Consider the following 24,555-nt stretch of genomic DNA (forward strand, 5'->3'; position numbering starts at 1 on the left):
CGAAGATTGCAGTGAGCCGAGATCCGGCCACTGCACTCCACCCTAGATGACAAGGGTGAAACTCCATCTCAAAATAATAGTAATAATAAATCTTTCCTTTATCTAGTCAACTTTGAATGTTATGCTTAATTCCTTGAGACCTAGAAATGGAATTCACTGTGTTTGTTTGATCACTGGTGGTTTTCTATAGTGGATCGAGGAATGTTCTCACCTCTTGCCAGAATCTTTTAAATAGTCCTGCTCTCTTCTCTGTCAGGTCGCTTCTCTATTCACTCTCATCTACTTTGTGAATCATAAGGCAAATTGTCAATGAATTTGACTAAAATTTCAAGAAATAAATCAAGGTGAGAAAAGTAAGCTGACAACAGAGTTGAGAATAAAAGGGGAAGTATTTGACTGGGTCTGTTTTGCTTCCCCGCCCAAAACCATCCCAGACGTTCCTTAAATAGAGCCCACAGTTTGTGGGCTTTCTAATGAATAGTGGCCAAGAGGCAGCCTCACATTTGAGGCATGCTATTACCATTTTTTCTTCATTCCCTCTCCTTAATTAGGGTCTTTAAAGGGAGGCTGCCCTCAGATTCTGACAAACAGTATTAGCTTCCTCATAATGCAATGCCTGATCCTGGAGCTATTTTTCAGGATGGTTTGCACTGAGTCTGTGACATTGTCTATATTTCTAGAATGCAGGAGGAATACCTCAACAGAGAATTAGCTGTGGAGGTTCTAAAAAGCCTATTCCTGAAGGCCTGAAGAACTGATTTTAATAACCCATAATAATACGGGAGGGAGATAGAGTTGACTAATTTTCAGTTTCACAGTTTGGCTAATGCCTACAGTAAGATGTATTTTACCTGTACCAAACACACACACACCAAAAAATTCATGAAACAATATTTATCCCTTTTCCATGCAATTCCTTCTATTTTCCATTCTAATTTATTTCAGTTTCTAAATGCAAACCTCCACCCACTGAATTGATTCTCTCACACTAAAGAGTGGCAACCCACTGTTTGAAAAGCACTCAATGGGATGCCCTTTATTTTTCTAACCCTGTAATTCAATATAGAGAGACTCTGAATTGAGGACAAGCCTGATGAGTTTGAGGTATGGAATAAAGGAATCTGATCGGCTCCGGGTTTGTTGTGTTTTTAAATCTTCCTGTGTGTTCATTCTCTTCACCACAGAGAGGACTCTATTATCTTTGCTCAAAGAGCAGACAGTGCTCTAGCTGTTTTCCCCTGCTTAGCTTTGATCCCTGCAGCCATGCTCAGCCCTTCCCCCAAGCCCTCCCTTCCAGATGGATTGAGGCTGTTGAGACTCCAGGGGTGTTCGGGGCTGGGAGCCTGCTGAGTGTTCCCTGTTCCCACCTCCAATCTGCTCCATCCTCCAGCTGCATTTCATTCCGGATCTACCAGGTTAATGGGATTATCGTTCTTCTCTGTTATTCTGTTATTTCATATAGGGTGAATCAGTTTGTTCCTGGGACAATTTTTAGATGGTTGCTGAGATGACAAAAATGGATGGGGATTTTATTTTAGGAATAAGTGTTCTTCATCAGCCAGGATTTAATCTGGGAAGAATTTATTCACTCTCAAATGGGTTACTTTTTGAAGTGACTTAAAAATAAGATTTTTTTGGCTGGGTGTGGTGGCTCACACCTGTAATCCAGCACTTTTGGAATCTGAGGCAGAAGGATTGCTTGAGCCCAGGAATTCAAAACCAGCCTGGGCAACATATTGAGACCCAGTCTCTATTATTTAAAAAAAAAAAATTTAAATAAGATTGTTTTATCAGATAAAAGCAAAGCATACCTTAAGGCACAACTCATGTTTTAATGCCTATATCATCATCGAATCAACCATACAACATTTTAGCTTCAAATTTTAATTTTGGTTAGAAAGATAAAGTGATAGACTGATTATATCATTTATTTTATTCATTATATTCAACAACATTTGCTCAGTACTTATTGGATACAGAGCACATTTATTGACCTCAAGATATCTAGACCTTTAGAAGGGAGTTTTTTTTAAATGCCTACAGATAGCCATTATATAAAATAAGATTTTAATAAGTGACTATACACAGTATAGTTCATAGCCTAATCATAGTATCTCCTCCTTTTCAGAACTTGTAAGAGTGAAAAGAGAAATTACTCATTCCTAGTGTATCTGTTTTTTCAGGACATGAGATTGCCAAATTTCTGTATTCTTCATTTTAATTAAATGCATGATTGATTGACTGAATGGATGCTGACTGTCTATTTGGTGCCATGTGCTATAAATGTGATGAAATGATCTTCCTATTGATCTTTCTTTGGTTTCTTGATGTTTGTCTCAAAAGAATTGACTTCCCAATACCTGGAACGCATGAGGGTGGAGAGAGACTGAAAAATGGAAAGAAAGAGGCATGAAATAAGGCTACTGGGGACTCGGGTTTTTCCTTCCTCTCTGATTGTCCAAATCCAATAGAAATATAAAGTGAGGCTGGGTGCGGTGGCTCATGCCTGTAATCCCAGCAGTTTGGGAGGCCAAGGTGGGTGGATCACCTGAGGTCAGGAGTTTGAGACCAGCTTGGCCAACATGGTGAAACCCCATCTCTACTAAAAATGCAAAAAATTAGCCAGGAGTGGTGGAACACACTTGTAATCCCAGCTACTCGGGAGGCTAAGGCAGGAGAATCGCTTGATCCTGGGAGACAGAGGTTGCAGTGAGCCGAGATCACACCACTGCACTCCAGCCTGGGCAATAGAGCAAGACTCCATCTTGGAAAAAAAAAAAGACATATAAAGTGATATAAAATATAAAATTTTAAACTATAGTAGCTACAATTGAAAAAGTCAAAAGAAACATAAAATTTATTTTTAACAACATATCTTGTACAATCTAATATATCTAAAATATTATCTTTACAATGTGAAATCAACATAAAAAACATTAGTGAGATATTTTACATTCTTTCAGGTATTTTTGGACTATTATCTTCAAAACCTGGCATGTATTCTTCACTAACAGCACATCTCAATTTTGATTAACCATATTTCTTGAGTTCAGTAACCACAAATCACTAGTGGCTGTCATATTGAACAACATAGCCTAGATAAAGAAGCAAAAGTCAAGGAAAATCTAGATAGTTAATAAATTTCTTTAATATTTAGAGGAAGGGACTCTTACTTCATGGGGTAGGAGGAAACCTGAAAACCAGTTTTCTCTTTCTGCTGATGGAGAAATGGGAGTTGCCAACTCAAGATCCACTCCTTTCTCTTCCAGCCTCTCAGACGTGGGGAAATGAGATAGAGCTGGAGCTGAACCTCTCCTACTTCTCTCCAGCACCCCAGAATTAAATCTGCTCTGAGGAAAATAAAGGCAACTCTACAGTCCTCACATTAGTATCATGACTTGCAGTTGATAAATGCTTTCATGTACAATATATCATTGGATATTTAATCATACTGTGACGTGGTCAGTCGAAGTATTACTATTCTCACTTTATAGATGAATGATCTGGGCCTCAGGGAGATTAAATGGCTTGCTCCAAAGTAGCACAGTTAGTATCCAAGTGTTTTGAAATTTAACCTAGTGTATGTCTCACTAAACCAGAGCTGCCTGGCAAAAGGAAGTTAAGAAAATATTTACAGAAGTATGATTTTTTTTTCTTCTCTGGACACATTTCATCTACTCCACACCCGCCCCCCACAAAAAATAAAAGAAAAGAAAAAAACCACTGGTGATCATTTTGCAGAAATAACCTCTTGGCCAATTGAGCTTTTAACTGGGTTTTTGTATTTTTTTTTAAGTTGGACCTCATTGTCTAGTGTAGCAATTTAGAACATCTAATTATTGACAGCAAGTCAGCATATTACAAAGGCAGAGTTTTTGCATTGGCTCTGAAATGTGTTGCAATCATTTTTGTCTGGGAAAACAAACAAAAGTGGATAGGCAGCATGGTTGTTACATGAGATGCTGGCTGAGTCCCAGGCCCTAGGACATTGGCTTACCTACCAACAATACCTCCCTTTCAGGCGATGCCAACTGTTTTATGAGAAGATCACAGTTCTCTGGAAGTGAGCTTTTGTGTTTTGCTCTAATCAGCAGGATCCAACTTTACTACTGTCATGGAGGGAATTACAGTAATTCTACCAACTTTTGAGGCAACCTTCTTCTGACACTGTGTGAAACAGACTGAAAAGACTCTAAAGATGGAGAGAGCTCAATGCTTGAGAAAAGGAATTCTGTCCTTTGAAAGGTCTCTAGAACAAAGGGTATGCAATATGTTTATCACTTCAACTTCAGAAACATAATAGGCTCTAGAAACACATTCTCATTGATCTGTTTCTACTGCTTCTGTTTTTTTTTTTTCTGCTTCACCCAATCGTCTTCCTATTTTTATCTCTTTCATTCCACTCTGGAGCCATGTTGCTTGGTCAGGCCACCCTTCAAAATAAATGATTTTTTCCCTCTTTCATGTTATACCTGTTTTCTTAATTCTTGGCTGTTACTTTTCTCAGTTAACCTTTGGCAAATCATAATGAAATTAAATTTAGCTGGTTGTAGAGAGAAAGAGTCATTGTAGAAGTTGGGATGGTCTGGAAGTGAATTAAAAAGTATTTTGATAGCCCTCAGAATGTGGACAAAAATAGTAAAAATCCAGCTGGGAGTCAGTGTATCTATTTTATGTCATTTGCAGTAAATTGTTGGGCGTCTCCTTGTAGCTGCCACAATAATGCTAATGATGGTGACTTCTTGCTCGAAGTGCTGAGTGTTGAATCCTTTGCCCCAGTTATGTGCCACATACTGATTTCCTTAGCAGTAGACAAATACTGGAAACACAAAAGGCAGAAGCCATGTCCTACTAAGCCATTCCCTTTGTCTAGTTTATCACTCAGTTCTGTCTATTCTTTCCTTCCTCTGTGGGAAATGGGGAGTTCATAAATGGTAATAACAAACTTGCAGAAAAATGTTAAGATAGAAACTTTTGTAGCAGCCAGCATTTTTCTTAGAGGAGGTCAAAGCATAAAGAAATAAACTGATCAGCCTCTGTTCCTATCTCCCCCAAAAACTCCTTCTCTAGATATCCTACTCTCAGAAACTAGTAATCAGGCATTATGAAAAATTACTTAATCCACTGGGCCAATTCATGTAGCTTATCAGCTATCTGCCTTTAGACTGAAAAAAAAAATAGCCAAATTATTTACTTGCAAATCCAGAAAGTAGGTGAAGTTCTTTAGCAGTTTAATGTTACTATAACAGTCTAATTCACAGGAGCACACACATTTATAAAATTGTCATCTGCACGAGTTGGCACACCCACATGAGAGAAATGTCATCCATGACAATGGGGCTATCAGGTCTTTTATAGCATACATTCTACTATAAATTTATAGGGATCAAGGAAAAACTTCTCTTTGCCATCTGAAGGCTTACTGAAAAATCAACTGACAAAAGGCAGATTAATAGGCAAAATGGCCTACAGATGTGTTAGTGAGCATGAGGGAGAATCACAGAATGATTGTCCAATATCCCAGTGAGGTACAGATGGTTGTATATACTTCTTAGGGGAAAGACAGATAGAGACGTGTAGATGATTTTTAGGGGATTTCGATGGGCCTGGAGAACCTACAGTGGCCTGGGATAAAGTCTTTTGGGCCAGCAGAGCAGACAATAGTTTGTGACCAGTCTGTCCAGGCGTGTTGATAGAATTCAGTCTTTCTTCCCATGAGTTCAGTTAATAAAAACTCAGGGAAGGGGCCAGAAGTAATTGTTTTCTTCATTGTCAGGTCCAAAATGTAGGCAAATAAGGAATTTCAGGGGACAACTTCATCCTGCAAGGAGGATTAAGAGACAGGACAGGGAGGAGGTCCAAGAGACCTTGAGGCTTCTTTTTCAGTTCAGCATGTCAAAGTGCCATATTTTGGGGTATCCGTTTCTAAGCTCTAACACATTCAAAGTACCTCAAAAGAACCAGATGCTGCTAAGATAGTTCACAGGGAAGATTCTGTCCTCTTCTCTGTATCCTCTATTTAAAATTCAAGTGGTTTCTCTTTCTAGGCTACCCCATAACTTTGTTGGTTAAAGGATGTGCTACTCATTTAAAATGTCAAATTACAAAGCCAGAGAACTGGCCTACCTGATTCACATACTTTGCCTTTCTCAATCCCTGTAATCTCAGCATCATACATTCTATCTTTTCAACGTGCATATTAAAAGGTATCTTAAAGACTATCTTACTCGGACTGAAACGCAAGAGTATCTGCGAACACTGATTCAGCTTGCAAAATACATAGAAAAGTAGCAAGAAAAATGATGTAACATCCCATGTAGTCGGCATACTGGCCTAGTTTCAAGACCGAAAGCAGTCTGAAAATGTCTGAAAAAAGTCGGAAAATGTGTGTGTGTGTGTGTGTGTGTGTGTGTGTGTGTGTGTGTGTGTGTATGTGCAGCCATGCCTAACAGCTCATGTTTAGCTTTCTTTTTTTTTTCCTTTTCTTCTTTTTTATACAGAGTCTTATTCTGTCACCTAGGCTGGAGTACAGTGGTGCAATCACAGCTCACTGCAGCCTCGATCTCCTGGACTCAACTAATCCTCCTGCCTCAGCCTTCTGGGTAGTTGAGACTACAGGTACATGCCACCACAGTCCCCTAATCTTTTAATTTTTATTTTTAGTAGAGATGAGGTCTCACTATGTTGCCGAGGCTGGTCTTTTTTTTTTTTTTTTTTGAGACAGAGTCTTGCTGTGTTGCCCAGGCTGGAGTGCAGTGGCTTGATCTCGGCTCACTGCAACCTCCGCCTCCTGGGTTCAAGCAATTCTCTGCCTCACCTCCTGAGTAGCTGGGATTACAAGCACCTGCCACCACAGCTGGCTAATTTTTTTTGTATTTTTAGTAGAGACAGGGTTTCACCATCTTGGCCAGGCTGGTCTTGAACTCCTGACCTTGTGATCCACCCACCTCGGCCTCCCAAAGTGCTGGGATTACAGGCATGAGCCACCGTGCCCGGCCACCCAGGCTGGTCTTGAACTTCTGGCCTCAAGCAATCCTCTCGCCTCAGCCTTCCAAAGTGCTGAGATTACAGGCATGAGCCACCCAGCCCACTCACGTTTGGCTTTCTTTTTCCTGTTTTTTTTAAACTTCAACTTTTATTTCAGATACAGAGGTAGATGTGCTGGTTAGTTGCATGGGAATATTGCATGATGCTGAGGTTTGGGGTTCGAATTCCATCACCCAGGTAGTAAGCATACCACAACATAGGTTTTTCAACCCTCCCACTCCCCACCTTGTAATAGTCTGTAGTGTCTTTTCCCATATTTATGTCCACGTGTGATTAGCTTTTCCCATATTTATGTCCATGTGTGATTAGCTAGGTCACTTCCCAGAATGTTATATACCCACACACATTGAGAAAGTTTTTGGCACTGGAATTGCCCTGGGTGATTGTGTTGGAACAGGTGCCAAAACAGTAACGTTCTTACCTGAAACACTGCTGGGGTTTGCAGGAAGGCACTGATCCACCCTTCCTACAGCTTGTTCATGCCAAAAAATACAAGGAAAGCTGCAGCTCCCCGAAGGAGAGGGAGAGAAACTCTTGCCTCTTTTTAAATGAGTAGACTAAGGGCCGGGGGCGGTGGCTCACACTTGTAATCCCAGCACTTTGGGAGGCCGAGGTGAGCAGATCACAAGGTCAGGAGATCGAGACCATCCTGGCTAACATGGTGAAACCCCGTCTCTACTAAAAATACAAAAAATTAGCCGGGCGTGGTGGCGGGCGCCTGTAGTCCCAGCTACTCGGGAGGCTGAGGCAGGAGAATGGCGTGAACCCGGGAGGCGGAGCTTGCAGTGAGCCGAGATCGCACCACCGCACTCCATCCTGGGCGACAGAGCCAGACTCCGTCTCAAAAAGAAAAAAAGTTATAAACTAAGATGAAGGGAAAACATAACACAAATATTTTTCAAGGAGTAGTAAGATATTAGAGCCCTAAAAGATTTGATGGGCACATTTGTCTTGCTTGTTTCACCCTCATCATCATCATACGAGTTTATTTCATTTAAAAAACAGAAAACATAGAGAAGCATAGAAAGCATTCCAATCCCCCATAATTCCGCCTCCTAAACATGCATACATTTATAGACTACGGTTCCATGGGACCTGATATATATGGTACCTGATACACATGGATAAATTTTTCCTACCAAAATATCATAAATTATATTGTGTTGTAGAAATTGTCTTTGTTACCTAACAACAAATCACTATGTCAGTATATAAATATTTACCACATCATTGGTTGTTTTTTGGGGTGCTTTTGTTGTTGTTGTTGTTGTTGTTGTTTTGAGACAGGATCTCTCTGTGGTGCTCAGGCTGGAGTGCAGTGGCGTGATCTCAGTTCACCGCAACCTCTACCTCCTGGGCTCAAGCAATCCTCCCACCTCAGCCTCCTGAATAGCTGGAATCACAGATGTGCCACCATGCCTGGCTAATTGTTTGTATTTTTGGTAGAGACAGGGTTTCACCATGTTGCCCAGGCTGGCCTCCAACTCCTGAGCTCAAGCAATCCTCCCACCTTGGCCTCCCAAAGTGCTGTGATTACAGGCCTGAGCCACTGCGCCCAGCATACCACATCATTGTTAATGGGTACATAGTATTCTCTTAAGTGGATGTATTATAAGTTATTTAACTAATACCCTATGATTGATTGCTTGAATTCTTTTCAACTTCTATAATTATAATTAATTCTACAATAAACAGCCTTCTGGCCAGGTGCAGTGGCTCACGCCTGTAATCCTAACACTTTGGGAGGCTGAAGAGGATGAATTACCTGAGGTCAGGAGTTCAAGAACAGCCTAGCCAACATGGTGAAACCCCGTCTCTACTAAAAACACAAGATTAGCTGGCTGTGGCAGCACATGCCTGTAATCCCAGCTACTTGGGAGACTGAGGCAGGAAAATCGCATGAACCCAGGAGGCGGAGGTTGCAGTGAGCTGAGATCAGGCCATTGCACTCCAGCCTGGGTGATAAAGCGACACTCTGTCTCAAAAATAAATAAATAAAAATTAATTAGTTAATTAACAAACCCAGATTTCAGGTGTCTCCTAATTTGAGGGACCAGGAGGGAACACCAAGACCATATATAGCTGCATTTGTGTTCATCCCTTACCTTATGACTACCAGGATACGTGAACTCAGCCTGTCTTTGAAGCTCTTAAATAATCCTCTAATGTAAAAACCTCAGTGAACATGTAAACATCACCGGAGTTTTCATAGAGAAGGTGGAAAACAGGTTTTGCAAAACACATCTCACAGAAAAAAATCCCTCATAGACATGTCTGTTCTTACTCATTATCTGTTATATCTGGGACTGGGGTAGAGGGTGGCTGGCAAACAAATCAGTTCTTCTGTTCAACTTGCTTCCTCAAACTTGCCTTGATGCTCAGCCAAACAAAGGGCCCTCCAGTTACCAGAAATTGCCCTCCTCAGAAGAAAATTTAGCAATCATCTAAACTTGTTTTAAACATGCCCTTTGAGATATCACGCCCAGCTCCAGCAGTTTGTATTAGAGTATTTCTTCAGATCCTTGTCTGTTAAATCCTTCAAGAGTGTTAACTTTTCTTCACCTAGTTTCTGCCCATTTCTTGTCAATTTTCTTTCTAGTTTTTTTTTCTTATCTTTCTTTCTGTTTTTTGTTTGTTTGTTTGTTTTGGTTTTGGTTTTGGGTTTTTTTCGAGACAGTCTTGTGCTATATTGCCCAAGCTGATCTCAAACTCCTGAGCTAGGGCAATCCTCCCACCTCAGCCTCCTGAGTAGCTGGGATTACAGATGTGTGGCATCATGCTCAGCTCTTTTTCTAATAATTTTTTCTTCTCTGGTTGCTACTGCAGTTGGTAACTTTACTCCACTATATTATCTAATCAAGCCTTCTTTATATAAAGAAAAACTATTGATTTAGATACTTTTGTGTGTGTGAAGTCAACTAGCTTACTGATTTATCTCATTGTTTCTTCTGTTTTAATTGATATATTATTATCTGCAAACAATAATTGTGTCTCCTCTTTCAAGTATTCATACCTCTTACTACTTTCTCACGTGTAATTACATTGAGTAATTACATTGAGTAGTACCACTAAATTAGGAGTACTAGTAGTGATGATGGACTTCTTTGCCTTCCATTGCAAAATCTTTTAATGCTTCCATGAAAAACGATACTGGCTTTGACATATAGTTTAAACATATACACACATACACACGCAATTTTAATTTCAAAGACTTTACATTTATTCCTATTTAGTGATGGTTTAAGTTCCTTATCTGTATATTTGCTTTGTTTGCTTTTATTTTTAAACTAGGAAGAAATACTGGATTTGTCAAAGTCCTTTGAGATACCAGTCTACTGATCCATACTAAATTTGAATTATCTTCTTTTTAAACACTTAAATAAACTTAGACATGTTTATGGGCTGTTCATTCTATTGTACTGATCTACAAGTCATTTCTAACACCAATAAAGTGCAGGTCTATTTATTGAACATTTTAACATATTATAATAGCTAGAAATTTCAGTCCTTCTATTTTTTTTTTTTTTTTTTTTTTTTTTTTGAGTCGGAGTCTCGCTCTGTTGCCCAGGCTGGAGTGCAGTGGCACTATCTTGGCTCACTGCAAGCTCCACCTCCCAGGTTCACGCCATTCTCCTGCCTCAGCCTCCCGAGTAGCTGGGACTACAGGTGCCCGCTGCCATGCCTGGCTAATTTTTGTATTTTTTTTTTAGTAGACACGGGGTTTCACCTTTTTAGCCAGGATGGTCTTGATCTCCTGACCTCGTAATCTGCCCACCTCAGCCTCCCAAAGTGCCGGGATTACAGGCATGAACCACAGTGCCCGGCGTCCTTCTATTTTTCTAATCTTTAAGGTTTTCTAGGTAGGGCATGGTGGCTGTAATCCCAGCACTTTGGGAGGCCAAGGTGGAAGAATCGCTTGAGCTCAGGAGTTTGGGACCACCCTGAGCAACATAGTGAGACCCCATCTCATAAAAAATAAAGATAAAATAAAATAATAAAATTAATTAATTTGAAAAATATTTTCTTGCTTCATGTGTCTTAATATTCTAACCATTATTATATTACTATCATGTAGACAGGCAAAATTAATAAGATAGTTAGAAAATAATACAAAATAATTTGGGGCACTTTTATTTAAAAATTAAAATGCATCCAGTACCATAAATTCCAGGAGAGGCAGAAATCAATATGAGCTTAATGAGTGATGAAAATTACCACAGATTTATTTTTTGCAGATACAGAAGATGAGAGAGAGAAAAAGAGAGAAATTACAGAGTGACGGAGAAGGCAGACATCATGCAACATGCTCAAGGGCTATTCATTTTAAGCTGAAACATACATGTGTAGAAAGCATCCTTGTACTTATAATCCCAATGACTATGAAGAAAAATAATTTAGCCAAATAGTTCCTAGAACAGGAAAAATAAGGAATTATATTTTGAGATAAGAAGTTAAGCTCTAGTATAACAATGATATGGGTCAAAGAAAAATGAAAACAAATTTTAAAAACGTTGCAACATGAATAAAAGTTTCACCAAATCGGGAGTCTATTATAAGCATGTTTTGAGTTATTTTCTTTCCCAAAGACTTCATTTTTGTTTCAATTTATTTCAGTAGTATACACTTCTGAAAATATTTAACTAATGTCGTACTGGTTCTCGTAAAAGGTGAGGTGGAGCAATTCCATTAAGCTATAGTGAGGTGAAGAGAGAATATCTGGTGAATGAATTTGAAATAAGCTCCTTCGCGATATGCCCCTTCCATAACCTCTGTATCCTTGTCATCCCAAACTGCCCACATTTCGCTGAACTCCTTGCACTTCTCAGAGGACATCTTACCTGTCAACCCACGGTATCAGTTGGCTGGGGGAGGTCCCCAAATACTGGTGAGACCCTGACCCCTGCTAATGTCCAGGCACCTGACACCGATATAGAAGGAATCCAAAGACGACGAGTCAGAAAACAGTGACTGTATGAAGATTTACTGCAAAGTGAATCTCCACGGAAGTGCAGTTCAGGCCTACTCAAGAGAGAGACACTCCCAGAGGGGCTTGGGGCTGCTATCTTTATGGGTTTCTTTAGCCAAAGGGTGAAATATTCATGAAGATTTCTGGAAAAAAGGTGAAGATTTCTTGGAACTGTGGTGCCACCCATTTTTACACCAAATATGGGTGTTCCCAGAAGTGTCATGGCATTGGTGGGTATGTAATTTAGTATGTTAATGAATGTACAGTGAAGTCCTCATGAGACCTAGGTGAAATCCAGCACCATGTTGGGTCCAGTCAGCCTCAGCCAGCTTGGTCTACACCCTGGTTTGCAAAGTATCAGCCCCTAGTTTATGCAGCTATTTCAACAGTTTCCTTTTTGCTAGTCATGTGAAACTGCTGCCTAGAATTTTCTATTCTCCTACCACCACCCTGTATTATTCCTGTCTCACTACCCTTCAACTTCCACCCCCTTTTCCTCTAGATACTTGTATAGTACTCTTCAGACATAGGAGTGTGGAAATCGTCCCCTGCGTCCCAGTCTGAGACAGGTAGTTCTTTTTTTTGCCATCGCATCTCATGCACGCCTCTCTGAATCACTGGTTTTCTTGACTGTCTCCCTCAGCAGAGACACCACGGAAGGCATCTTAATTGTACATTCAGCATTTAGCATATGGAAGCATTAAAGATGTTATGCAAAAAACATAAGCTTCTTTTTTAACTTCTTAAGAAATGTGGGCTCAAGCTCTGCTCCCTACTGTATTTATTTTTCTTAATACCCTTGTGGTTAAAATGTCACATAACGATGTCACATAATCTCACTAATATCATATGTTATGGGTATGATATTAATAGTCATATTCAAACTGTTAATGAATCACATCAAGAAAGCCCGTCTCCTTTAGTGTCTTATAAAAATTATAGAGGAAAAACAGTGCAAGTCAGTAAGTATAATATTAAGGGGCCGGGTGTGGTGGCTCACGCCTATAATCCCAGCACTTTGGAAGGCCGAGGCCAGCGAATCATGTGAGGTTAAGAGTTCGAGACCAGCCTAACATACTGAAACCCCATCTCTATTAAAAATACAAAAATCAGCCAGGCGTAGTGGCGGGCGCCTGTAATCCCAGCTACTCAGGAGGATGAGGAGGAGAATCGCTTGAACCCGGGAGGCAGAGGTTGCAGAGGTTGCAGTGAGCTGAGATCGCGCCATTGCACTCCAGCCCGTCTGACAGAGCAAGAATATGTAAAAAAAAAAAAAAAAAAAAAAAAAGAATAAGGGAATCAACCGGGCTCAGTGGCTCATGACTGAAATCCCAATACTTTGGGAGGCTGAGGCAGGAGGATCACTTGAGCCCAGAAGTTTGATCCCAATCTGGGCAACACAGGGAGATCCCCGTCTCTACAAAAATTTTTTTAAAAAAAGAGAATAAGGGAATCATAAAGTTGGAAAGGTAGGTGAAAATCATTCTTCCTGTGGTTCCTAACTCTGGCTGAGCTTTTAATAAAATGCCAACAACGCCCAGGTCTTATGCTAAGAAAATTTGATTACACTTGTCTTATGTGGTGAAGGAGTAGCTGTGTATGTGCGGGTGTGTGCATGTGTGCGCGTGTGTGTGCGTGTGTGCATGTGTGTAGAGACAGGGGCTCATTATGTTGCTCAGGCTGGTGTCAAACTCCTGAGCTCAAGCAATCCACCTGCCTCAGCCTCCCACGGTGCTGGGATTACAGGCATAAGCCAGCAGGCCCGGGTAAGCAGTATTTTTTTAAAGTTCCCCAAATACTTCTAATATGCACCCAGAATTGAGGACACCCCATCTAATCCTACTCCATGTTGCCTAATCATTTTCCTGATGAGGCAACATGAGAGGTGACGTCACTTAGGAGAGTGAGTAAGGGACACACTAAAAATAACTAAAGTTACTCATCAGATCATAGATTCATTATGGAAGGAATGATCAGAAAATCAAGAGATTGGGAAGAATTGGCTTGTTTAGATGACCAGTACGGGTGAGATTAACTAGATGGAAAGTAAAGCAACCGCAAGCTGTATGTGGTGGCACTTCAAATAGGAGTAGTGGGAACTAACATGAAAAGAAAAAAATGATTACAGTTGGCAGGCAAAGGAGGGATCTGTGCAGGAAATAACTTGGCTGAATAAATAGAATGAGCTAAGACTAGATTATCCAAACACGAGATTCATTTCTAAATCAGACAGAGCTGAACTTAACAACAACTCTATCTACTTGTAGTTTCCTCTGTATAAATTTTACACTGCTAGTGAGCATGGATTTACAGTTATCTGCAAATCTTACTCCTGAAAAATGAGAATATAGACAGCTCCCTGATTTGGAGGAACTGAGAATGGAAATTACATTGTTGCATGAGGTCAAATATTTCTCAGGTTTATCTTACACATTTAGAATATTAAAAAAAATAAATTGGGGATAGCAATGAGGGAGATCAATGCAGGAGGTCAACCGATATTTATTGGCAGAAGAGCAAGGGAAAAAATGTGATGGTGTTTTGTTTTCCATCAACAGCTCCAATCTCTTCATCCTCCCTCCAAGCCAACTCTATTCCCAGATGGTCTTTAAATTCTAATATTTAAAGAAATATAGTCTTTCCAGGAGCAGTAGCTCGCGCCTGTAGGAAGGTTGCTTGAGGCCAGGAGTTTGAAACCAGCCTAGGCAACATGGTGAGACTCAAATCTTTTTTTTTTTTCTGAGACAGAGTCTCCCTCTGTCACCCATGCTGGAGTGCAGGGGTGCGATCACGGCTGACTATAACCTCCGTCTCCTGGGTTCAAGCGATTCTCCTGCCTCAGCTTCCCGAGTAGCTAGAATTACAGGCGTACGCCGCCACACCTAGCTAATTTTTATATTTTTAATAGAGACGGGGTTTCACCATGTTGGTGAGGCTGGTCTGGAACTCCTGACCTCAGGTGATCTGCCGGCCTCGGCCTCTGAAAGTGCTGGGATTACAGGCATAAGCCACCACTCCCGAACAAGACTGAAATCTAAAATAATTTTAAAAATAAATAAATAAATAAATAAAAATGTTACAGCTCAGCTCTTTTAGAATTTGTCTAACAGATTGCTTAGTCTTCACCAGGGCACCCCCTACCCCCACCACCCCACCAAAAAATGTTTTATCCAGGATAAAACTGCTTGCCTTATTATTTTCTTAATTTCATGCTGTAATCGTGTATACAGTTTCCCAACTTTTTTAGCATTAATCTTTCAAAATACAATTATCTCAGTTTGTGACCCTGATCATATGTCAAGTAATATAATTTTGTGACTCATACTTTCGGAATATTTTGTCTTAGCTTCCTGATTTTTATACACACATATACAAAGAAATCTCCATTTTTCTTTTCTTTATTCTTCTTTTATTTATTTATTTACGTATTTTTGAAGATGGGGTCTCACTGTGTTGCCCAGACTGGGTGTGGCTGGAATGGTGTGAGACTTAGAAATTACTGTAGATGTTGTTCATCCAAGTTGTCATAATGAAAATTGTGAGACATTCAAATCACTCTTTTTTATGTTATGAACCATGTGCTTCACAAACCCAGATCTCAAAGCTGTGTAGTAATCCTACTGTAGATTCAATCTAAATGTCAGCCTATGCAAATACAGACTATTTGATATAGAAATATTCCCACCCAAATATTACTTCCCAATAATTGTAATAGTAAGCCCATACAAAAATAAAGCATCAAAGACTTTTTAGCTGCCTAGCTACCATCCACTCTCTTTTCTATAGGTTTTCAAAAGTCTAATGGTTCCAACTTCTAATGGACTCAGCATTCGTCAGGGAAACTAGCTCCCAATACTCCTTGACCCTTGCACCGTAATTCATAATGCTTCCATTTTTTTGCTAAAAGAATCATCAATGGCTCTTGAATTTTTTTTTTTTTTTTTTTTTTTTTTTTTTTTTTTTTTGCACATATCCATCCACAAATGTCCCTGTTCCATTCTCCCCACGGGTACAGTGATATCTAATAATGAGTTACAAATTTTTTTTGTTTCCTCTTTAATAAATTTAGTACTGGTGTGGCTCTGAATAATTACTAAACAGCCAATTTTACGTCTTTAAAGTATGTGTATCCAGGCCGGGCGCGGTGGCTCACTCCTGTAATCCCAGCACTTTGGGAGGCCGAGGTGGGCGGATCATAAGGTCAGGAGATCGAGACCATCCTGGCTAACACAGTGAAACCTCGTTTCTACTAAAAATACAAAAAATCAGCTGGGCGTGGTGGCGGGCGCCTGTAGTCCCAGCTACTCGGGAGGCTGAGGCAGGAGAATGGTGTGAACCCGGGAGGCGGAGCTTGCAGTGAGCCGAGATCGCGCCACTGCACTCCAGCCTGGGCGACAGAGAGAGACCTCGTCTCAAAAAAAAAAAAAAAAAAAAAAAAATTGCGTCCACCTCTTCCTTATATGAACCGTTGTGAAGACTAGGGATAAAGTAAGTGAAGAGCCCGGATCTATCTGAAACACTCTTATCAATTGTTAGCTGTTATTTTTACTGTTTTCCCCTATATTCTTTTATATGTTTAGTGTCTTACAGGAAGAGGTTAAAAAGTGCAGGGGTGGGGGCAATAGGGGACAGGGAGAATATAATAAAGGATTAAGTAATTAAATAGAAGATAGGAAAGGGTGCTCCAAAAGCAAGTGTCCGTTCCAGAACTTGCTTCCTAGTAAAGCAAGGTCCTCAGGCCATCTTCTCTGAACCTTGATTCCACTGTATTTTCAGTGTGCGAACAGTGATTTAAATCAGTCCATTTTAGCTGTCAAACTCATACCGTTTGAGAAGATTCATAACCCCAGAGAGAGCGCTTACGAAGGAGGGATTAACATGGCAAACACATGCGCAAACTCCAGATGGCTGAGCTGAGACATGTTTGGGGGAAAGTCTCTCTCCTGACTGTGGAGGAAATGCTATATGGGAGGAAAACTAGTGTCTTTTGTGATAAAGGATGGTCAGTTAGTCACTGGGTCACAAAGCCTGTTCTACAAATCATTCAATTTAAGAAGCATTTGGGACCCCTCGAAAGTTTTTTTGTTTGTTTTTGAGACGAAGTTTCTCTCACTGTTGCTGTGGCTGGAATACAACGGTGCAGTCTCGGCTTACCGCAACCTCCCGCGCACGGTCCAAAACACATTTTCGTGCTGCATGGGCCGGGAATCGAACCCGGGCCTCCCGCGTGGCAGGCGAGAATTCTACCACTGAACCACCCATGCACCGATAGAAGAGTTGGGGAAAAGCAGTAACATGATTGGAACGCGACTGGAAGGTGTTCTTTGTTGCAAGAGACTAGATAATGGAGAAGGAAGATGATAATATTTTGGTCACTTGGCTGGGCATGGTGGCTCATGCCTGTAATCTCAGCACTTTGGGAGGCCGAGTGGGGAGGATTGCTTGAGCCCAGGAGTTCGAGACCAGCCTGGGCAACACAGGGAGACTCTTGTCTCTAAAAAAAAAAACTAAAAAAAAAGAAAATGAGCCGGGCATGGTGGCACGTGCCTGTAGTCCCAGCTACTCAGGAGCCTGAGGAGGGAGGATTGCTTGAGCCTGGGAGGTCAAGGCTGCAGCGAGCTGTGGTCATGCCACTTGCAATCCAGCCTAGGTGACAGAGTGAGACACTGCCTCAACAGCAACAAAAAAGTTGGTCACTTGAAGTATTGCTACTTATTGATTCATGATACAATTAAATGTTGCCTCTCCAGATTGTTTGGGGGAATTGGGGGGTTTTTTGAGAATAAAGTGCTCCAGATAGCCGTGTGAGTGCCTCTTGAATAAACACCAGTTTTTTTAAAAATTGAATTCATTTATATAAAAATATAAATTGCATTAAATGCTATTTATATTAAATGCTTTCCTGCCATCTTAAGCAGAATGCGCTGAATAATACCTTACTGAGGACTCAGCACCGTGACAGCCATTGCTGATTATTGCAGTGAACTGTGATTCAGTGATGTGGGACACACCGTCAAGGAAGTGAGTGCAATGAGAGCTCCACATACACAAAGTTCAGAAAAAAACAAAGCACAGGAGGCTGTTTGCTTTCTAACTACTCGTTTCACCCCTGGACTCTGGTGTACTCTCCAGCATGCCACACTTCAGGAAGGATATTGGCAAAGTGGAGTATTCTAGCTAAGAAAAGAAGCTAGGATGGTAAGCGCTATTGAAACAAGGTTCAGCCAGCAAAATGTCTGAAAGCGTTAGAGAAGCTTAACTTAGAGAAAACTTATATATAAATATTTAAATGTTGGTAGTATTGTCTTGTGACGATGCCTTGAATAGAAACCTGTAAATATCAACCTGGTCTCTACTAAAACTACAAAAATTAGCCAGGCGTGGTGGTGCAAGCCGGTGGTCCCAGCTATTCAGGAGGCTGAGGCAGGAGAATCGCTTGAACCTGGGAGGCGGAGGCTGCAGTGAGCCGAGATCGCGCCATTGCACTCCAGCCTGGACAACAGAGCGAGACTCTGTCTCAAAAAAAAGAAAAAAGAAAGAGAGAAGGGGTGGGGAGAGAGAGGAATAAAGAAAACTGTAAATATCTAATAGAATACTAAGACTAATTGGTAAAAATCATTACAGAAAAGCAGATTTTGGGCCGGACGCAGTCGCTCACGCCTGTAATCCCAACACTTTGGGAGGCCGAGGCTGGCGGATCACCTGAGGTTGGGAGTTCGAGACCACCCTGACCAACATGGAGAAACCCCGTCTCTACTAAAAACACAAAATTAGTCGGGTATGGTGGCACATGCCTGTAATCCCAGCTACTCGGGAGGCTGAGGCAGGAGAATCGCTTGAACCCAGGAGGCGGAGGTTGCGGTGAGCCGGAGATCGCGCCATTGCACTCCAGCCTGGGCAACAAGAACGAAACTCCGTCTCAAAAAAAAAAAGAAAAGCGGATTTTGATTCAATATGAAAGAAACTCCTCTTTATAATTCATTTTGATTCATAATTTATGTGCAAGATCTTACTTGGTTTCGCAGGTAATGGAATAATGAGCGAACAAAAGTCCCAAACTCAAAAAAGACATTAACCTAGGGTAGCTGGAATGGAGAGTGCACGAGGCGAGGAGCAATGAGAGTTGGAGAAGCAAATGGGACTAGATCATGGAGGGCCTGGAAAGGTAGGATTGTTTTAAACAAGTAACTGGAAGTGATAAATCATTTTAAAATATTTTTAACTCACATTTTAATTACAAAGCTAATTATTATAAAAGTAAAATAAGTTTATTAAAATTTTAAATATATCAAAATATATTATGTAAAAGTGAAAGTTCACCCTAACCCCAATTTACAGAGGTACCTGTGAGTCGTTTAGCCCGTGTCTTTTTTTTTTTGAGACAGAGTTTCGCCCTTGCCCAGGCTGGAGTGCAGTGGTGCCATCTCGGCTCACTGCAGCCTCCGCCTCCTGGGTTCAAGCAATTCTCCTGCTTCAGCCTCCTGAGTAGCCGGGATTACAGGCGCCCACCACCATGCCTGGCTAATTTTTTTTAGTTGAGACGGGGTTCCGCATGTTGGTCAGGCTGGTCTCAAACTCCTGGCCTTTCAGGTAATCCACCCGCCTTGGCCTCCCAAAGTGCTGGGATTACAGGCGTGAGTCACTGTGCCTGGTTTTTTGTTTTTTGGTTTTTTTTTTTTTGAGATGGAGTCTCACTCTGTCACCCAGGCTGGAGTGCAGTGGCACAATCTCGGCTCACAGCAACCTCAGCCTCCGGGGTTCAAGTAGCTGGGATTACAGGCACGTGCCACCATGCCAGGATAATTTTTGTATTTTTAGTAGAGACAGGGTTTCGCCATGTTGGCCGGGGTGGTCTCGAACTCCTGACCTCAAGTGATTCACCAGCCTCCACCTCCCAAAGTGCTGGGATTACAGGTGTGAGCCACCACACCCGGCCCCTGGCCTGTGCCTTTACTTGACCTTTTTGTTGCTATGTGTTCCACATCTATAAAATGAGGATCATAATAGTACCTACCCAATAGAGGCAACATGAGAATTAAATTAATTACCGCCAACTCCATAAAGGCAGGGATTTTGTTTGATTTAGGGGTTTTCAACCTCTGTACTACTGATATTTTAGGCTGAATAATTTCCGGTAGTGGAAAGAGGGGCTGGTGTCCTGCACACTGTGGGTTGTGTAGCAGCATCTCTGGCTTCTACCCACTTCTACCTGCAACAAAAACTATTTATAGACATGGCCAAATGTCCTCTGGGGGGCAAAATCACCCAGGTTGAAAACCACTGGTCTAATTTACTGCTGAGAGCCTGTCACCCAGCACAGCATGCAATAAATATTTGTCGAATTGAATGAATGAAGTGAATGCATATAGGAAGCCCTCAGTAAGTGTTACCTATTTTTATTATACTATTTTCCAACTATATAAATTTCTACATAAGTGGGATCCAATTATGTGTACTTCAAGGCAAATTGCATTTTTTCTCTAACAATCTACCTTGGTCATACTTTTACATCACCACCACCATTTTATACAGTTGTATCTCGATTGCTTTCTATGGCGTGAAAGTAGTTTTATAATTCATTTATTCAATTCATTATTGATGTGCATATAGGCTAATTTCAATTTGTTGTTATAAATAATGCTACAAAGAACATTTTTCATTATGAATTTTTATTTACTGTCACATCCGGGGCTATGCAATGTATCATGCCCTAATTTGGAAAGGGATTTTGTATTAGGCAGGTTTCTCCAGAGAAACAGAATCAATAGGATGTATATACACACAAGGAAACTTGTTTATAAAGAAATTGTCTTACACAATTATGGGGGTTGGCAAGTCCAAAATCTGCAGGGTAGACCAGCTGGCTGAAGACCCAGGAAAGAGTTGATGCTGCAGTCCAAGTCCGAAGGTCATCTGCTACAGATTCCCTTTCGCGGCAGGTAGCTCAGTCTTTCATTCTATTCAAGCCATCAACTGATTGGATGAGACTTACCCACATTAGGAAGAGTAATCTGGGCCAGGCGTGATGGCTCACACCTGTAATTCCAGCACTTTGGGAGGCCAAGGCACGTGGATCCCTTGAGCTCAGGAGTTTGAGACCAGCCTGGGCAACGTGGCAAAATCCCAATTCTACAAAAAATACAAAAATTAGCTGGGCATGGAGGCGCATGCCTTGTGGTCCCAGCTATTCACAAGGCTGAGGTGGGAGGATCGTTTGATCCCAGGAGGTCGAGGCTGCAGTGAGCTGAGATTGTGCCACTGCCCTCCAGTCTGGGCGACAGAGCGAGACTCCATCTCAAAAAATATATAAGTAAATTAAATAAAATAAAATACAAACACAGAATTAGCCAGTTGTAGTGGCACGCTCCTGTAATCCCATGTACTCAGGAGGCTGAGGGAAGAGAATTGCTTGAACTCAGGAGGTGGGGGTTGCAGTGAGACGAGATCTGCCACTGCACTCCAGCTTGGGCGACAAAGCAAGAATCTGTCTCAGAGGGTGGAGGTGGGGGGTGGGGAAAGAACTACCTGGGACTGCATACTTTATAAAGAAAATAGGTTTAATTGACTTACAGTTCTGCATGGCTGCGGAGATCTCAGGAAACTTTCAATCATGGTAGAAGGTGAAGGAGAAGCAAGCACCTTCCTCATGAGGTGGCAGGAGAGACAGAGGATGAGAAATGCTACACTTTTAAACGATCAGATCTCATGAGAACTCACTATCACAAGAACAGCATGGGGGAAACCACCCCCATGATCCAATCACCTCCCACCAGGTCCCACCCTCAACATGTGGGGATTACAGTTAGAGATGAGATTTGAGTGGGGACACAAAGCCAAACCATATCATCCTGTCTTAAAAATGAAAAAAGTAATGGTAACCTGTCTTATTCAAAGTCCACCAACTTGAATGTCAATTTCATCCAAAAACACGCTCTCAGAAACATCCAGAATAATGTTTGATCATATATCTGGGTACTACGACCCAGCCAAGTTAAAGAAAATAAAATTAGCCCAGTGCAGTAGCTCACGCCTGTAATCCCAGCATTTTGGGAGGCTGAGGCGGGTAGATTGCTTGAGCCCAGGAGTTCAAGACCAGCTTGGACAACATGGAGAAACTCCGTTTCTACAAAGAGATAAAAAATTAGCAGGGCATGGTGGCGCACACCTGTAGTCCCTGCTATTAAGGAGGCTGAGATGGAAGGATTGCTTGAGCCTGGGAGATTGAGGCTACAGGGTGCTGTGATTGTGCTACTGCACTCCAGCCTGGATGATTGAGTGAGAGCCTGTCTCAAAAAAAAAAAAAAAAATCCATTCCAAATCAGGAGTGCTGGTAAAAAAAAAAAAGAAAAAAGAAAATTTATCACACATAAAATTAATCATCACAGATTCCTTGCCAACACATCAGCAGAACTGTCTGACCACCCAAAAAGAGAACTGTTGATGTGAATTGTATGCTAACCAGGGGCCTGGACTGGACAACCTCTCTATGCACGTGGGGTTCTGAGTCTGGAAAGAGATGCCATCTGAGAATGGTGACATATGTCTTTCTCTTTCTTCCTAACCGTGGCTACAGACTAGTCTATTTTTGTGGTTTATCTGCCTACTGTTTAGAATTATTCTGTTTTCTTGGGGCTGTCAGGCACTCAACTGACACTTCTTGATGCTATTGCTGTGTCTGCCTTGAGCAGCTAATGATGGATGTGAAAACCCTTTTATAATTGTTCATTCCAAAGGAAATGTGCAGCCACATGCTCCTGTGGTCTCCTGTGGGCTAAATAAACCCTGATAACCAAGCTTATTATCATTATGTCTAAAATTAAAGTAAACAAATAATGAGTGAGGGCTTGAGTGGTTTATTGTGGTTGAAAAGTACTGACTGACTTAACGCATGAATCTTATAACACCTATTTATATGGGTAAAGATTTGGAGGGTTATTCTAGTTTCCCATCTGGGTTCCAGATATGTGAGATTGCTGGGTGGGAGAATGTTATAGATTGTAGGTTTGTTGTCTTAAGGCAGGTAGCTGTCATTTCTGCCTAAATTATCTGTAAGGCAAGAAACCAAATATATAAATTAATACCATAAATAAGCAAACAAATAATTCTCTAATCTCAATCAATACTTCCCTACTTGTGAACTGAAGAATTAATACAGTCTCTTTGTTTGCTGCTTGGCATGAGTTTCCTTTACCTTTAAAATTAGGTTTGTGTTCATGAAACAAGGTTAGAAATTTAGGGAAGGGAAGAAATCTACTATTTAAAAATATATGACTATTTATTTTTAGCTACCACTTTTTAGCACCTAGGTATTAAAATACATAATAATTAGGAGCTAAGTGTATCCCATAATCTGTCATCATTCGCTCACTTCAAGAGGCCCATCATTAACCTTTCCATTAATTCTACGTCTTTTAGATCTTCCTAAATCAACACCTACTCTAAATGATTCCTCAAATTAAACCCTAGTTTTGCATCTGCACTTTCTCCGTTCTAGCCTGAAAAGCCTACAATCTTTTCTGTCTAGTCCCCATTTCTGCCTCACTCCAGAATCTGGCTTGAAGCCCTGGACTTTCTCGAACTCGATTGCTGGCAAGCAAGTCCTCCATCAAACAGATCCCTCACATGTCTGTGCATTAAAAATAGCTAATATGACTCACTGGCACTTCTTACTTACTCAAACTAAAGGACAGCATCTGTGCTTCAGGGATAGGAGAGTGAAGAGAGCAGAATGTGAAGAGGGAAACTACCAACATTCAAAAATCATTTTCTGGACTTGACATTGATGTTAGCTTTGTCCCTGGTATTTCTATCAGGAAACATATCTGCAAGTGATTGTATGTAGAATTATTCTTTCTTAGCTGATCTATCTGGGGAGGCACATTTTCAAGGATGTCTGCTATGGTGAATATAGCATTGCCATGCTTATTCATGGGTCCCACTGTTTAGACTAATATTATAATAAAGGTCCTAGTTTCAAAAATGCCTTTTGTCAAACTTTTGTCTGCCTTTGTGTCCAAAGATGAACCTTTTAATTCATTCATTCCTTCAATCAAGAAATCATTATTGGCTGGCGTGGTGACTCATGCTTGTAATCCCAGCACTTTGGGAGGCCAAGGGGGAAGATTGCTCAAGCGTAGGAGTTTGAGACCAGCCTGGGCAACACAGGGAGACTCTGTCTCTACAAATTGAAAAAAAAAAAAAAAAAAAAAAAAAACTTATGCTGAGGTAGGAGGATCACTTGGGCCCGGAATGTCAAGGCTACAGTAAGCCATGATCGTGTCACTGTACTCCAGCCTAGGTGACAGAGCAAGATCCTATCTCAAAAATAAAAAAAAGAAAGTATTATTGAATGCCTTCTAGGGCTGCCATGTTCTCCAACTTGTAAGGGCACCATTCTCAGTATAGTCTCTGGAGTTGAGCTCTAGCGGGGGCATTCCCTTCCGGGGTATATTGACTGAGGGACATACAATGGTATGTATGACATAGTCACCTATCTATAGCCCTCCAGGGGGGATTAAGAAACATTTTTCCATTTTCAAGTA

General features: G+C 41.1%; 1 long non-coding RNA gene and 1 other non-coding gene across 3 annotated transcripts, besides 3 other annotated features; one reads left to right on the plus strand and one right to left on the minus strand.

Annotated features, from left to right (window-relative positions):
• Positions 937 to 1,520: an enhancer, noted in NCBI's record as "OCT4-NANOG hESC enhancer chr21:18810837-18811420 (GRCh37/hg19 assembly coordinates)". NCBI's record gives its function as "activates a minimal SCP1, AML or CMV promoter by ChIP-STARR-seq in naive H9 embryonic stem cells {active_cell/tissue: H9 hESC(naive)}" and the evidence as "EXISTENCE:reporter gene assay evidence [ECO:0000049][PMID:30033119]".
• LINC01549 (long intergenic non-protein coding RNA 1549) lies at positions 1,308 to 11,603 on the plus strand. 2 transcript variants are annotated; one of them, NR_037585.1, is made up of 4 exons: positions 1,308 to 1,415; positions 4,092 to 4,261; positions 6,501 to 6,618; positions 11,283 to 11,603. It is a non-coding gene; the product is annotated as a long intergenic non-protein coding RNA 1549 (long non-coding RNA). The 2 variants fall into 2 exon arrangements; NR_037586.1 differs by having other exon boundaries at positions 11,289 to 11,603.
• Positions 17,047 to 17,116: an enhancer, noted in NCBI's record as "active region_18293". NCBI's record gives its function as "activates an Ori minimal core promoter by ATAC-STARR-seq in GM12878 lymphoblastoid cells {active_cell/tissue: GM12878}" and the evidence as "EXISTENCE:reporter gene assay evidence [ECO:0000049][PMID:35858748]".
• Positions 17,157 to 17,366: a silencer, noted in NCBI's record as "silent region_13220". NCBI's record gives its function as "represses an Ori minimal core promoter by ATAC-STARR-seq in GM12878 lymphoblastoid cells {active_cell/tissue: GM12878}" and the evidence as "EXISTENCE:reporter gene assay evidence [ECO:0000049][PMID:35858748]".
• Positions 17,207 to 17,277, minus strand: TRG-GCC1-5 (tRNA-Gly (anticodon GCC) 1-5). Its single transcript has one exon. It is a non-coding gene; the product is annotated as a tRNA-Gly (tRNA).

This window comes from Homo sapiens, chromosome 21, assembly GCF_000001405.40.
Source record: "Homo sapiens chromosome 21, GRCh38.p14 Primary Assembly".
Lineage (NCBI taxonomy): Eukaryota > Metazoa > Chordata > Mammalia > Primates > Hominidae > Homo > Homo sapiens.